General features: G+C 37.9%; 2 long non-coding RNA genes across 5 annotated transcripts in view; one reads left to right on the top strand and one right to left on the bottom strand.

Annotated features, from left to right (window-relative positions):
- LOC105376387 (uncharacterized) overlaps nt 1-16,549 on the top strand; it is a 294,200-nt gene that overhangs the window by 261,546 nt on the left and 16,105 nt on the right. The window contains exon 3 of one of the 4 annotated variants that reach the window (NR_188185.1): nt 6,075-6,133. The exons of the other annotated variants lie outside the window; for them this stretch is intronic. This is a non-coding gene — a long non-coding RNA (uncharacterized LOC105376387). The remainder of the gene's footprint in view (nt 1-6,074; nt 6,134-16,549) is intronic. 4 annotated transcript variants of the gene reach the window in all.
- The window catches only part of LINC00707 (long intergenic non-protein coding RNA 707), a 63,309-nt gene continuing 60,777 nt past the window's right edge, over nt 14,018-16,549 (bottom strand). The window contains exon 5 of the long non-coding RNA NR_038291.1: nt 14,018-16,533. This is a non-coding gene — a long non-coding RNA (long intergenic non-protein coding RNA 707). The remainder of the gene's footprint in view (nt 16,534-16,549) is intronic.

Raw genomic sequence — 16,549 nt, 5'->3', positions numbered from 1 at the left:
TCTTAACCACAAATGCTATACCGTTCTAGTTTGGCATGATGGAATCTCAGCTCTAAACAAGGGCATCTGCCCAAGGCAGTCAGTGGGAGCTTAAATCCAGCTGTGTTGGAGGATTATTTCTGCCCAAAGACACCTTCCAGGTGCCTCTTTCTGATGGACATTGATGGACGTTTCTGATGGACGTTGTCCACTCTGGCATGGACTGCAGGGCTGTGTTAGCTCAAGAGGGGAAGCTGCATCTGGTGCACACAGGGGCATGTGCCAGGGAGGCGGTAGCCCCATTAGCCTGATCCATTTCTCATGATCTTGGCAATCACTTATTTTGCTAAAGAATGCTCCAGAATCCTCCTTTTAATTCTCTGCCTGAGTATTTTCCCTGGAGAAATGACAAGGTTACCAGTCTATGGTCATGATGGTTTCCATCCTTCACCCCCACCACCTTTTTTAAAAATATCTACTCAGAATATATCCAGATCAAGATGTCCAGTGCTTCTTCTCCGTAAGCTATTCTCAATATAATAATAATACCTATGTTATTTCTCAAAAGACGGCCAACAGCATGTATTCATACCCATCTGCATAACCTTTCCTACCACCCTGGGAAAGACTGTCTGAAACTAAAGAGTAAAACTCCTCTGAAATGACATCTTCTTCCAATATTCTTACACTTTTTCATTTGTAGGTCATTTGTCATAACAGGAAAAAAAAAAGGGGGACATAGGAAGAATTTTGCTTTTTTCTCTGTTGCGTGCGAGTATTTTATGATCGTTGCCAACAAGTGGCTTGTCCTGGCCTTGAGCTCCCTCCCGCATGGATTAGACCTGGGAATTTTTTGTGATTATTGTTGCCTTATCTATTTTTTTGACATGCTTTTTTGTTTTATACTATTCTATAATAAAAGTCTCTGATTAGACATGTGGCCTTTCACGTTCTCTGTCATTTACCAGTGGGCTTTTGTGAAACCCAATAAGCTTCCTTTGCATCTCCCTCAGTTCTTCCCCATTGAAATTATCTGGATTCTAAGTGTGGTGTACATATGATAAGGCACAGAATGTGGAGTCTATTCTACCTCCCCATTGCCATTTATTCTACATATTTTCATACTCTAACATTGGCCAAGGGGTACATTGTATCCATAAATATCCAAAGACTTCGAATGTTTAATGCTTTTGGCTTACCGCTTGTATTTATAGGAATTTAATCTTAGGGAAGTATGCATGGATAGGTGCAAAGAAATTTAGATGCAAAGTTGTTTATTGTAGCAAAGTTTAAATTAGCCAAAACTTAGAAACAACTTATATGTTTAGTACCTGAATGTTAGTTAAATAAATTCTGGTAGATCCAACCAATGAGTTATTAGGCAGTCTTTAAAAATCATGCTATAACTATAAAACTCCTAGAAAAAAAATGTAGGGGAGGTGCCTTACACGACTGGTCTTGGCAATGATTTCTTGACTATGACACCAAAATCAGAGGTTAAAAAAGCAAAAACAGACAAGTGGGACTATATGAAACCAAAAAGCTTCTGTGCAGCAAAGAAAACAATCAGCAGAGCAAAAGGCATCCTATGGAATTGGAGAGAATATTTGCAAGTCATATATATAAGAGACTAATATCCAAAATATGTGAGGAACCGCTACAACTTAATAGCAAAAAACCAAATAACCCAGTTAAAGACTAGGCAAAGGATTTGGACAAACATTTCTCCAAAAAAGACATACAAATGGCCACCAGTCTATGAAAAGGTGCTCAGCATCACTAATCAGCAGGGGAAGGCAAATCAAAAGCACAGTGGGATATTATCTCACACCTGTCAGGATAACCATTATTTAAACAAAAAACAAAAAGAGACAATAACAAATATTAGCAAGGAAGTGGAGAAATTGAAAGGCTGGTACACTCTTGGTGGGAATGTAAATTGGTAGGTACAGCCATTATGAAAAAAAGATATGGAGGCTCCTCAAAAAATTTAAAATAGAACTCCCATATGATCCAGCAACCCCACTTCTGGGTATTTATTCAAAATAATGGAAATACACTGTGTGTGTGTGTGTGTGTGTGTGTGTGTGTGTGTGTGTGTGTGTGTGATGTTATTCAGCCTTAAGAAAAAAGGAAATTCTGTCATGTAGCTACAACATAGATGAAACTTGAGGACATTATATTAAGTGAAATAAGCCAGTCAGAGGACAAATACTACATGATTCTACTTATATGAAGTAGTTAAAGTAACCAAACTCTTAGAAGCAGAAAATAGCATGGTGGTTGCCAGGGACTGGGGGATAGGCCGAATGGGGAGTTGCTGTTTAATGGGTATAGAATTTTGATCATGAATGATGAAAAAGTTCTAGAGATTTGCTGTAGAACAGTGCACACATGGTTAACAATACTATGTTGTATACTTGAATATTTGTTGAGGGTAGAACTCATGTTGCATGTTTTTTACCATAATAGAGACAAAATCATGCTGTAGCATTTATTGATGGTAAAATGTTTACAATATATTTGTAAATTCTGAAAAACAAATTTATGCATGATATATGTAACTTCAAAAAATACATGCAGAAAAACACATAGAAAATCAACTGTAGGGATAACACCAAACTGTTACTTGTGCTTATCTCTGGGGTATCAGTAATATTAGTTTTCTTTTTTTGAATTTTTATACTTTCCAAAATTAAACATTTGATTTTGTTTCTGAGTTAGTGTTTTAGTTGGTTTTCTTTAGAAATAAAGATGCATTTGCTCAGAATAAGAAATATATTTTCTGAAGCTATTTTTTTTTTTTTCCGAGACGGAGTTTCGCTCTTTTTGCCCAAGCTGGAGCAGTGGTGCGATGTCAGCTCACTGCAACCTCCACCTCCCAGGTTCAAGCAATTCTCCTGCCTCAGCCTCCTGAGTAGCTGGGATTACAGGCGTACATCATCTCACCCAGCTAAGTTTTGTATTTTTAGTAGAGACGGGGTTTCCCCGTGTTGGCCAGGCTGGTCTCAAATGCCTGACCTCAGGTCATGTGCCTACCTCGGCCTTCCAAAGTGCTGGGATTGCAGGCATGAGCCACTGTGCCCGGCCTTTGGAGCTATTTCAAAGTTCTCTTGGATAATGGAAATAGAAAAAACAACAACAACAAAGTAGGATTTTATTCATTCATTTCATCCTACATATATTTACTAAACAGTGTGCCATGCTTTTTCCCTCCCTGTTGGGACATTTTCTGAGAGGTATACTGTCACTTACTGTGTGACTTCAGGTAAGCCATTTGGCCAACGATGAGCTTCACTTCCTGATATTGAAAATGGGGATAATAATAATATGCTCCACCTACTCAATCAGGATTTTGAAGGTTTAATAATGTTAGCAAATACAAAGGCAGCACATTAATTGCAAAACACTGTCATTTTTATGACTATTATCTTTACTATTATATTATCAATTTATTGTATTTTCTCAGATCTTTCAATGTGTGAGGCTGAAACTGCATTTATCAAAACACACTCGGCCTTCCCAGGATCTCCCTAATCTTCCAACAGTATCCCAAGCTTCTTCCTCTCTTCTCTGCAGAGCCAGTCCCAGCTCAACAACCATGAGCTAACGTCCTAAATCTTCTCGCAGAGGATAGTCCAGTAGATTCCATGACTTGCATTAAACTCATTTCCCTTTTTATTTTCCAAACTTGTGAATTTTCTCTTTTTAATAGTTTTACCCTTAGAGTCTTTAAAATTTATATTATTTTCCACGTCATCCCCGTTCTCTGCCCATTCCCACCTTACCATATAACTGACCTGTCGAAGTGGCCTGAGTTCCCTTCAGCATCTCCATACTGCATGGACTTTTCAGGGCAACAGTAGCATGAGATACTCACGAGCAACAAAACGGCTACAGTTTGATATTTTGAGTGCATTCAGAATAACCAAGAATGCATTCAAACCCTACTGCCATATAAAAGGAGAATCCCTTTTCACCTACAAGGAAAGGGATTCCCCTTTTAGATGACAGTAGGGTTTGAGGTGAGTGATAACAGGATATAGCATGGTTAGTAAGCGAAATTATCCCAATAAACATTAGTCTGCTTATCTTCCGTGCATCACATTTATTATTTTATTTTTGTGTGTGTACATTTTTGTACCCAGCAAGATCTTAGTGTTATGGTTGAATTTTGTAGTTTGTAGACACTCCATGTCTCAAAAAAAAAAAAAAAAATATATATATATATATATATATATATATTTGAGATGGAGTCTCGCTCTGTGGCCCAGGCTGAGTGCAGTGAGGCTGTCTCAGCTCACTGCAACCTCCACCTCCCGGGATCAAGGAATTCTCCTGCCTCAGCCTCCTGAGTAGCTGGGAATACAGGAACACACCACCACACCTGACAAATTTTGTATTTTTAGTAGAGACGGGATTTCACCATGTTGGCCAGGTTGATCTCAAACTCCTGACATTAAGTGATCTGCCCACCTTGGCCCCCAAAGTGCTCTGATTACAGCGTGAGCCACCGTCCCCAGCCCCTGTATGTTTTTCTGTCTCACCCTGTGTGTCCCTTCTCCTCTGGTGAATATTAGGTTTTATTCTTTGCATTTTCACCAGAATAAAAGTAAAAGAGTTACTGTGCTTCTCCCAGACTGCCAATCTATTTATTTGCGTCTTACTTTCCTCAAAAGGGAGTTGGTAAGTGATTTTTACAAAAAGGGGCTCATTTATATTTTATATGCATGGTAGATAAAATAAAGATAAAAGAGAAAACAGAACTCACATGGAAAGAGAGGGGGAAGAGGAAGATTAGGGGAGAACATTACTAAAAATGAGCACGAAATTGTCTGAATTTCTTGTTACCCAGTATAATAGAGAAATAAGATAATGCTCTATGCAGTTTGTGTGATAAAAGAAACCATATTGACTTGCTATAAGAGACAATTTTATATTCTATCAAGAAATCCTGTAGACTCTTATTAGGGACATAACATAAACCATGTCCTCAGAACTATTTTCCCAGAAAACATATGCTTTGTAAATTATGTTTATTATCTTACCGGAAGATTTTAAAAATAATTTCATAGAACAAAGAGAGAGTGGAAATGAACCATATTGTTTTGGGGAATGGGACTATCTTAAAATTTTTCTTCCTTTTGCTTTTCTGTATTTTTCCAATTTGTCTATAATGAGTATGAATTACTCATATACGGAAAAAATAAACTTTACTTAAAAATAATAAATAACTGCACTTCACGAAGGTTTTTCTTATACCAGCCTTTGGTAAGAGCTGAGAGCATGGTCCTGAATCTTTGTTCAGGGAAAGGGCTTCTATGAGGACCAAATCATTTTAAACCAAGGAGTTTACATTCTCATGCTCTGCTTGACACAAGTATCTAATGACAAAGTTCAACTTGTTCCTTGGACTGTCTCAACTACCATTTATCTCAACATTTTTGGACATGAGTTAAGTAGCTGTCAATCGGAAGTTTAACTCTCAACTTACTACCAAAAAGCTGAGATTCTTTCTTAGAAGAAAAGGTGATCAAAAAATGCTAAACCTTAGAGAGTCAAGAAGCAATATCAACATGATGCCATGAAATCTAAGAGCTGCTGATTTATGGGATTTTTGGAAAGAGGCTGCTCCATCTTCACATAACAGTAGCAGCATGGAAGGAAGCTTGCTTCAGGGAGGGAGAAATTTTTTTTTTTTAATTAAAGGAAGGTTTGAATTGACCCCAAGCCTGGGTGAGTACTCAGTTGAGTCAGCATAGTTCTGCACCAAGAAGCTTGGAAAAGACTTCTTTGGTCTGTGCAGCTTAAAGGACAACATGCATTTTAAATCAAGTATGTAACTACTTGTTAATAATCTTGGTAAATTTTTATACTTTCCAAAATTAAACATTTGATTTTTCTCTGAGTTAGTATTTTAGTTTTTTTACTTTCGAAATGAAGATGAATGTGTTTGGAATAAGAAATATGTTTTCTGGAGCTATTTCAAAGTTCTCTTGGATAATAGAAAACAACAACAACAACAAAGTGGGATTTTATTCGCTTATTTTACCCTGCAAATTTTTACTGAACAGTGTGCCATACTTTTTTCCTAGGCTACAAACCTGTACAGCATGTGATTCTACTGAATATACGGGCAATTGTTAACACAATGGTAGGTATTTGTGTATCTAAACATACCTAAACATCGAAAAGTAGAGTAGAGGCCCAGTGTGGTGGCTTATGCCTGGAATGCCAGCACTGCGGGAGGCCAAAGTGAGAGAATGGCTTGAAACCAGGTGTTTGAGACCAGGCTGGGCAAGATAGCAAGACCCTATCTCTATAAATTTTTTAAAAAAATATTAGCCAGGTGCAGTGGCTTGGGCCTTTATTTCTAGCTACTCAGGAGGCTGAGGCAGGAGGATCACTTAAGCCCAGGGGCCCATGATTGCACACTGCATTCCAGCCTGAATGACAGCCTGCAGCTTACTTTTTTTTTTAATAACAGTCTGTTTCAAAGAGCAGAAGTTTTTAATTTTGATGAAGTCCAGTTAATCAATTGCTTCTTTTATGATTTTTTCTTTTTTCGGTGGCAAATTTCTGTTTTATTTTGTCTGGAAATAGGTATAGCTCTCATTCCTAAAAATATTCTCACTGAGGATATAAATCTGGTTGACAGTTATCATGTTCTTTCAGCATATTATGCCATTGCCTTCCAACTCTCAGTGCTGCTGTTGAGAAATCAGATGACACGCTAAATGTCTAAAAATGATCAGCAGAATTTTTCTTTTGTGTCTTAAGATTTATTTGCCAAGGTCTCAATAATTTTCTTCTGTATTTTCTTCTAGAGGTTTTATAGTTGTAGGTCTTATATTTAGGTGATCTGTTTCAAGTTAATTTTATATAGTGTAAATTTCACTTTTTTCATATAAATTTTATTTTTGGCATATGGATGAACAATTGTTCTGGTATAATTTGTTGAAATGGCTATCTTTTGCCCATTAAATGGCACCATTGTCAAAAAATAACTGACCATGTATGTGTAGGTCTATTTCTGGAATCTCTATTCAGATCCATTGAGCTAGAAAGTCTCTTCTTTTACCAATACCTTCCTTGATTTCTGTGCTTTTCTGTAAGTCTTGAAATTAGGTACAACAAGTTCTCTGATTTTTTTTTTCTTCAAAACTGTTTTCGGTGTTTTAAGTTCTTTGCTTTGTTGTATAAACTTTAGGATCAACTCATAAATTTTAACCCCAAAAAAAAGCCCTTCTAAGAATTTTATTTGTATTATGTGAGTCTATGGATCTTTTGCGGGAGCACTGATGTATTAACAACCTTGGGGCTTTCCACTCAGGGACACCATACATCCTCTACATTTATTGGATTTCTTTCATTTTTATCACCAATGTTTCACAGCTTTCATCATACAAATCTTCCACATCTTTTGTTAGACTCATCCCTAAGTTTTTGCTGCTCTTTCAAACAGTAATATTTTAAAATTTCAATGACCAATTGTTCATTGCTCACATAAATACAATCAATTTTGTATATACAGTTATTATTTTTAATCTGACAATTTATCCCATACTTTGCTAGATTCTCTGTAGTTTATTACCACCTTTCTAAATATTCTGTCTAGGTAACCCAGAGAGTCAAAGTAAGAATTATTCATTTGGTCAACTGATTAGATTATTTCTGTGCTCTTGGATTCTGTTAATTTCACACTCTATAGGCTGGATGTTCTGCCATCATCAATTTGCATTCCAAGATTTTGTGTGTGTATGTCTCAAAAATATGTTAAGGCAGTTTTAACAATTCTTTAGAAACTCAGGGCCTGGCGCAGTGGCTCACACCTGTAATCCCAGCACTTTGGGAGGCTACGGTGGGAGGATCTCTTGGGCCAAGGAGTATGAAACCAGCCTAGGCAACATGACAAACCCTGTCTCTACAAAAAATATAAAAATTAGCCAGGCATGGTGGTGTGCACTTTTAGTCCCAGCTATTCAGGAGGCTGAGGTGGGAGGACCATTGGAGCCCAGAAGGTTGAAGCTGCAGTGAGCTGTGATCATGCCACTGCACTCCAGCCTGGGCAACAGAGTAAAACCCTGTCTCAAATAAAGAAAAGAAAAGAGAAAAAAAAAGAAACTCAATTGCATCTTAGTTAACAAGCTGGACATTTCACCTGACTGGAGAGGTTGTTAGTGACAGCAGGTTCAGCCAGGTTAATTTATCTCACAGGGCTTGTGTTCAAGTTTCCCCTTTGCACCATCAATGAAGGGTCTAGTGAAGTAGTTACTTCATGTAAAATAAAGAAAATTACTAATAACTTTATTGAAGAATTAAGATTCAGTATTATGCCATCAATGTCATCCTTTCCTTTAAACAGTAAAAATGAATGAATGTTTATAGAGAAATATTTTAAATTTGCAAGCAATTGAAATACAGTGTTATTGTTCTGAATTTTCTGAATTAATTGTCATAAAAAGTGGCACATAAAAATACAGAAATAGCCAGGTTCAGTGGCTCACGCCTGTAATCCCAGCACTTTGGGAGGCTGAGGAAGGCGGATCACCTGAGGTCGGGAGTTCAAAACCAGCCTGACCAACATGGAGAAAGCCCGTCTCCACTAAAAATACAAAATTAGCCAGGCATGGTGGTGCATGTCTGTAATCCCAGCTACTCAGGAGGCTAAGGCAGGAGAATTGCTTGAACCCAGGAGGTGGAGGTTGTGGTGAGCCGAGATCACGCTATTGCACTCCAGCCTGGGAAACGAGCGAAACTCCGTCCCACCCCCCCGACAAAAAATAAATAAATGCAGAAATATACTAGAATACAAAAATAGGAATCTATATTTTTACCATAATCTTATTGGTAAAACAAACAACAAACCCTCAAAACTTTAAAAGACATATAAGAACCCCTTCATCCTTCCAAGCCAAACTAATGAAGAAATCCCTGTCTTAAGGTTTCTTCCTGCAGCTAGCCAATAAGCATTCTTAAATACTCTAGAGAAAGGCACGCTCGCAGCCAGGCAAGGGAATCTGTCCCACTCCCAAATACCTGAAATTATTATGTATTTATTTATGATAATGTTAAAACTGCTTCCCTTATACCAATTTATCTAGCGTTGACTCCCAGGGCCACAGGGACTGAGGCCTTAATGTATCTGAAAACAACCCTCATGCCCCACTGTCTTCACTCTCTTAGACAAAGCATTCCTTGTTTGCCCTCATCTCTCCCTTCTATGACAATTTCATTTATGACTCCTTCTTTGGAAATGTGGCTTTGCCAGTACAAATTATGTGCAAAAGCACTAATTTTTTTTTTTTTTGGTCAACACTATCCTTAATGGGCACAGCACAAGATTGTATCATAATCTGTTTCACTCATAGTGAGCTTGTACTTTTTAAATAATACTCCCAGACATTTTTCTGAATTTGTCTTAAGCTATAAGCTTGTGATTTTGAGATTAGTGTTATCGTTAGGTGAAGAAGCTTCGACTTTCCCTCGTTAAAGCAACATAGTCTGAGTAGACAATTAGTGGTCGCAGTTCGAGACCAAGGCGTCTGGCAGTGCCTGAAGTGCTGCTCTGTAATTTTACTAAAAGGAAATGGAAATACTTTAGGATGTTTGGATACAAGACTGACATAGTGCTCTGAGTTTTAAAGAGACTTTTCCAGGTGAAAAATCATCTACAGTATGCACTGAGCTCTCCTTGCAGAGGGGTATAAACAGGCAAGGTCAAGCATGTCTCGGGTAGCAACTGTGGGTCTGCTCAAGTTCAGACAGACACTGATGGAAAATCCTAGAGACTTGCACCATAAAAATGGGAGGGCTGGTGGCGGGAAGCCTTTGAAGGACAGATATTATTAATCATTCACTTAAGTCATTCACTCAACAAATATTCATTGAGTGCCTACTATATGCCAGGATATCTTCTGCACCAAGAATAGAAGAGTGCACAAAACTATGACAAGGTTCCTTCACCATGGAGTAAAGATTCCAGTTGTGGGAGATAAACATCAAACAGAGAATCAAAGCAAAATATGCTAGGAGGGGCTGAGTGCTACGGAAAAAATTAAGCAAGTTAAGGGAAATAGGTTTGCTGGGAATGGTGGAGGTTGGGGCTATCATGAAACAGAGGTTATGAAACATTTTCATCTCAGGATCCCTTTATGCCTTTAAAAATGATGGAGGACCCCAAAGAGCTTTCACTAATGTGAGTTATTATTGACATTTACCATAAAAATGTTTAGAGAATTAATTTAAAAATAGCAATGAACTCATTGAAATTTATATTGAATTTTATATGATGTTGTTATATGACACGCCAATTTTATATGACATTTTAAAAATAATTAGTGGAAAGAATAGTATTGTTTTAATTTCTATGAATTTCTTTGGTGTCTGGCTTCTCGTATCTGATTCTGCATTTAGTCTGCTGTGCTATTGCTTTGGCTGAAGTAAATGAAGAAAATATAAACTCAAATAGGTAGTTTATAGTCAAAATTGTTGGTGCCATTTATGCCTACTGTTCCATTATTGGAACGCTAAGCATGTGGGAGTTATTTATATCCTACTGCTCAAGGCCATCACCAAGGTCTGATTTTTCAAATTCAAAAAATTGCAACCTCAGGCATAAATGGGTTAAAATGAGAGGGTTATTTTACAGCCTTTTCAGTTAACTGCGGATATTCTTTATTGACGTTAACAACAACAATTTTGAGTAGTAATGTTTTCTTAAAGTTGCTTGTGATATGAAATTGGAAACCTATTGATAAATTTTGCATACTCTTTTGCATTAAAATCCATTAGTCTGTCTTGCACTTTGAATGCTACTTTTTACTCATGCATGATTTTGCAACATCATGCATTTGGTTTTTCAAATGTTTACACATGTAATTGTATGATATCAAAAAACCCACCATTGACATCACTAGAAAAGTGTTCAAATATTTGCCACCGTCAGGGTCATCTTGGTGAGTAAAAGTTTTCAGAAATTCTAATTTCACCAGAAAACTGAAGTTTTATTAGACCACAAATACTATCAATTCTTTTCCTTGACATTACACACTCTCTCCTTTTATTTCAAGAAAAGCCTGCTAAATGACCAAACCTGAATACATATACTTTGTTAGCTAATTTTTCAAATAAAAAGGTAGTTCCATGAAAAAAAAAAGTGGCTAGTTCAGCTTGCAACTCAAATGATTGCACAGATGCTTCTTCTTGAGACAATCATTGTAGTTTGACATACCTTAGCTGTGGTGTACTTTCCATGTTGCCATACAAACTATTAAGAAGATCTGTACTCAAGGGTCAAGATTTAATAAAATTAATACTTCCACTGCTTCATTAGGACATTCTTGAACAAACAACAGTGGCTTCTGCTTACTTATTTATATATTGATTTATTTGAGTGTGTGGTAGCGAAGAATCAAATGACCACCAGACAATTAGATGCCACTAGTTGATTTATGCTAAGGACGGATGTTTTACTCACCATTGCTTTCGCACCTTTCATGCAAATATTAAAGGAGTGAAAATAAAAAATGTGATAGTATTTTTCAAAAAAACATGTTAACCTTGTGAACACCCAGTAGTGGTTCATGGATCTTTTTTTTTTTTTTTTTTTTTTTTGGGACGGAGTTTTGCTCTTGTCACCCAGGCTGGGGTGTAATCTCGGCTCACTGCAACCTCTGCCTCCTGGGTTCAAGCAATTCTCCTGCCTCAGCCTCCTGAGTAGCTGAGATTACAAGCACGTGCCACCATGCCCAGCTAATTTTTGTATTTTTAGTAGAGACTGGGTTTTGCAATGTTGGCCAATGATTCCTTAAGAAACACTACCATAAAAGAAAAATTTTGGATAACTCCTTTATTTGATTCGAGAATTGAATTTTACCTCACTGTTCTGGGAGATTAAATTGTCAATAAGACAAGCCAGGGATTTATCAGATATTCTGAGAATGAGACTTCCAGCAAATGTCCATAGTTGGAATTCCTTGCTGCTACTAGATCTTATTTCTCTGTCAGGTTTGTGATACTAGGTCTGTGTACCAGGATAACATCATCCATAACCTCAATTCTAAAACTGTATCAGCTAAGCTTCCTCTCCATTTATCCTTAACCAAATGTTCCCCACACTATTGATGGCTTCAGGCTGGTAGATTTCTCCTAAGTTGTGTATCTTCTTGATTTATAGTTGTTTTCTTCTGCATCTTAGATGAGATTAGATTTTTTTGTTGGGGGTGGGGGTAAGGTACATTTTATGCCCCTTTATCTTAGTCATGTGTTTGTGTTACCAACTTTTTGATTAAACTAATAGGATCTTATCTGTCTTCTGGGGTTAAATTTCAAATTTTTCTTGTTTATATTTTATCTCTCTGAAAACGTAAGAGTCAGTTTCAATCCTTTTCTCTTTTATGTTTTCTGGAGAATTGTGTAAACCTTCTTCACTGGCCTTCTGCTTTCTGTGCAGCCTCCCCTACGTGTCTGATGTTGCTTTAAGCATGTAGTAAAGAACTCAACAGGGAAACAGAAGGCCGATGTTGCAATACAGGCAAGATAGTGAACTAATGGCATTTAACACCTTCTCAGTATCTTATTTTCACATTCATAAAGTGCACAGTTGAGCTAGGTGATCTCTGGGCTCCTTTCTACCCCTATGAGTTCTTGTTTCCTTGAAGCGAATTTCCTGCTCTTAAAACAGAGGGTGTTGGAGAGTGGGAGATGAGGATGGTTTCTCTCAATTTACCAGCATATTCCTGAGTAACCTCTGCTCACCAGGCAGCATGTGTTCTCCTAGAAATACCACTGAAAGGTTTGCTTTTACTTAGAAGGAGTGATTTATCTTCTAACACATTATGAGCCAGGATGAGTTCACCACCCCCATCCCTGGATAATAACTCCAGTGGAAAATGATAGCTGTGTTCTTGCTAGGGCCTTTGCATTCATCCCTTTTGGGATGGAAAAAAAATCTATTAACATTAAAGTGGGTATCTAGAAAGTTACCAGCTTAAAACACTTCTCACTTATGGAAAAAAAGATGAATAACATGCCATTCAAACTCAGTTGCACAGTGACCATGCAGATGAATAACATGCAACTCAAACTCAGCTGCACAGTGACCATGCAGCTGATTTCCCTTTGGGTCAGCTGACCTGGCTGAGACTTCCTGGTTCACTGGCTCACACACAGACTCCTGACTCCTGCTGTTCATCTTGACCTCTTCCTCCTCATTTCTGGCTGAATGTCCCTTCACTGACCTTGCTCCATGTCTCCAATATGATTTTAGGTGAGGACTAAAGCTGTGTATCAACTTCACGTTCTTGTATTCCTATACCTATACTGTTGACAAGCTGCCCTCACTTAGCTGGGACTGCGCGATTCTGTATACAAATCCTCTGATCTCTGCTGCCTCCATCTGGCGAAGGTGGTCTTGGCCTTGTCATCCTATTTTAGGAGATCCATGTTTTCTACAATGGTCTGGGACTTAGGTAACTATTTGAGTTGATCCTCAACCTACAAATACAGAATCTTTGGATTGTCATTTCTGTTGTTTTGAGTGACAGGTTGAGTTTATGGTGGTCATGGTGTAACTCAAGAGAAGTAGAAACTCTAAGTATATATTATCACAATATGGTATAAAGCATATAATTTGGAATCAAACTGACCTGGTGTCAATATAGTCTCATTGACTATATAGATGACTTAAAACAGTTGATTCAATCTCACTGATCATTAGTTTCCTTATCTATAAAACGTAAATAATAATAGTTTGCAGGTTTTGAGGATTATGACATAAGACATGTAGTATTTTGCACATGGAAGGTTCCAGTTAATGATAATTATTAGCTTTACCATTGATAAATATATCAATTTCAAAAGTTTGGATAATTTATTTGTATAACACCATATGCTAATGATGAAGTCACATTACCTGTGTAACTTTGCATTAGTTCATGTGCATTCTCCTTATTCTCTGGAAAGCATGAAGTACTCAATGTTATGTAAATTTAACATTAGTGTAAGGGTTAAACAAAGAGGAAAGAAACACAAAAAGTGGCTCAACAGTCAAAGACAGGTTTATTTTGGAGAATAAACCTGAGAGGGGCTTCTGGCTGATTTCAGTCAGGAGCATTCTCTCTTGCAGACTAAGGATATTTAAGGGTTTAGGAAGAGGGAAGCTTTTTGTAGGTTTGGAATGTTTCCATGTGAAGGAAAGTTTACTGCGGGTTTGGAATGTCTCTGGTCGGAGGGGAGGCTGTCTCGGGGTCGGCATATTTCTGGCCAGAGGGGTGTTTATCTTAGGGTTGGAATGTTTCTGATTATGCTGACAATAGCCATTAGGCTGATGTTTTGGGGCTGGATTTAGGCAGTTTTTAAATAAAAGAGAACTTAAAATGGTGGTGTTTGTCCAAGATGGTGATGTTCCTGCTGTCAATTAGCATAAACAAAAGAGAATTCTGATACCCTGTTGGAATGTCCTCATTCCTCTGAGCTTCTCCACTCACAGGATAAATGCAGGAGTGGCTTCCCCTCATGGACACCTGCAAATGCAGAGTGTGGGGGCTCTCCTGGCCCTGCATCACTAGCAAGAGCAAAAGCTGCTCCGAGTCTTGTTTTTAGAACCTGGTCGACAGCTGGAGCAGAATTGATGCCTATGGCTCCAAGTCAAATACTGCTAATCTCATTTATTTTCCTGCCACCTAGTACTCTCCTCTGGAATCACACCATTATTGCCTGTTAACACTGGACTGTGAGTACCAGGCAATTAATTTGCACCAAGAAAGTTGAGGGTATTATCAGATATTGCAATCTGTACAGAGGGAAGAAGATTTCAATTTGATTTCAACTTAACCTTCATCTTTGTCTGTTAACACTAATAGAGGGTGTCTAATAAAATGGTCAAATTTGTGATCTCATTTGTTATAACTAGCACTCTTTTCACAGATGTGATGACTGATTTCCAGCAGCTGAAGGGAAGTCTTTTGGATTAACTTTTGTGATTGATTTGCTCTGGGTTCAGTCAGCCTGCAAGGCAGATGTGATGGTTGGAAATATAGAGTGTGTATCTTGGCGGATGAAAAACTCACTCATTCTCTTCCAGAGAGCAAGGTATTGTCATGACTTGGGGCAATAGTTCATCATATTAGAAACTAAGTTCCCTCCATGATATGAATATAGTTCTGCTTTCGTTTAAACTTTTAAGGAATTCACTCTCACTCCATTCCACCAATAATCAACTACCCCCTGTGAATTTTTCTCCTTTGAGGGTCATAATCTTCCCTGGTCAAACATAACTTCTGGCTTCACCACTTTGTCAGCAGTGAATGTGTATTCAAAAAATGATAACTAATTTACAATGACCCCAATAAACAATAATTGGAAGGTAAATCAGAGTCTGAAAAATGGTAACATATTCATACATCCTCAAATAAAACAGAATTGACTTTTTTCTATTCCCTACTATATAAAGATTTTGATGAAAATTTATCTAAGCTACTTAATTCTAAAGGACTCAACAAATTTTGGTTTGCTGGCCCTGTTCTATTTACTATTGTGGAGGTCCAGGTAAGCTCTGTGTCATCGGGTCATGTCTGGGCAAAAAGACCCAAGGAAAGTTGAGGTGATGGGTCCAACATCTTAGTCAAGGATGGAGTAGAGGCGGGATTTGAACCTAGACCTTCTAACTTCTAGCTCTTTCCCAAAGCAAACTTTTTCAATATCATTTTAATACACTTCTTAGTAAACAACATAGATTAATAATTTGGGGGGATTTATGTATTTAGATTTACTTAAAATCATTGGTTCAGTGTTAGTCTTATCCACCTGTTTAAATCATTAGTTAATTCATTATTAAACTCTTAATTGGAATTGATCCAGTGCTACAAATGAGAAAAATATGAAGAAAAGGATTTGCAAATAAGCAGCAGTCCAGATGTCTGCAGCATATGACATGTGGCTTGACTGTGAGTCATCATTGCCTATCTCTAGTAAGTTCTCACGTCATGATGAAAGTGATGCCAGCTCTAAGAAAATTGCACTAAAAGTAGAATTAAGATTATTAACATATTCAAGCCAGCATAGAGCACACTTGAGAAATGTGGTTTATGGGTCATGGAAAGCCAGAATTATGTAGAAGAGTGACGTAAGATTTGGGGGATGAGAGGGGCTACTTTAGATGCAAAGGGGACAATTAGAAGGCTACTGAGGTAATCCGGACAAAAAGTTGTAAATAAATCACGGTGGCAGTATGGTGAATAGTGGAGGGGGTGTATTTGAAGAAACTGGGGAGGCCGTGGGAGAGGCTGGCTAGTGAGAAATGGGCCGAAGGTGAAAGCAGCTTAGGGGCTGGTTTCCAGTTTTCTGGCACTGCAGACTGGGTGGTGGGAGGTGGCTTTCTCAAGAGGAGAGGTGAGTGGGAAGGAGCAGGGCTGCAGGGGAGGTCATGGTCTTGGGAGTGGTGCTCAGTCTGACTTGCACATAGGGGAGATTATTTTAGATTTCTGCAAGAAAATGGGGATTTCTTTTGGATTTCCGCAAGAAAATGTCCAGCATGTAGTCATATCAATGTGTCTGGAAAAAACAAACA

The sequence above is a fragment of the Homo sapiens genome, chromosome 10 (assembly GCF_000001405.40).
Source record: "Homo sapiens chromosome 10, GRCh38.p14 Primary Assembly".
NCBI lineage: Eukaryota > Metazoa > Chordata > Mammalia > Primates > Hominidae > Homo > Homo sapiens.
Note: the sequence above shows the minus strand (reverse complement) of the source record. Positions and strands in the feature narration are given on the sequence as shown.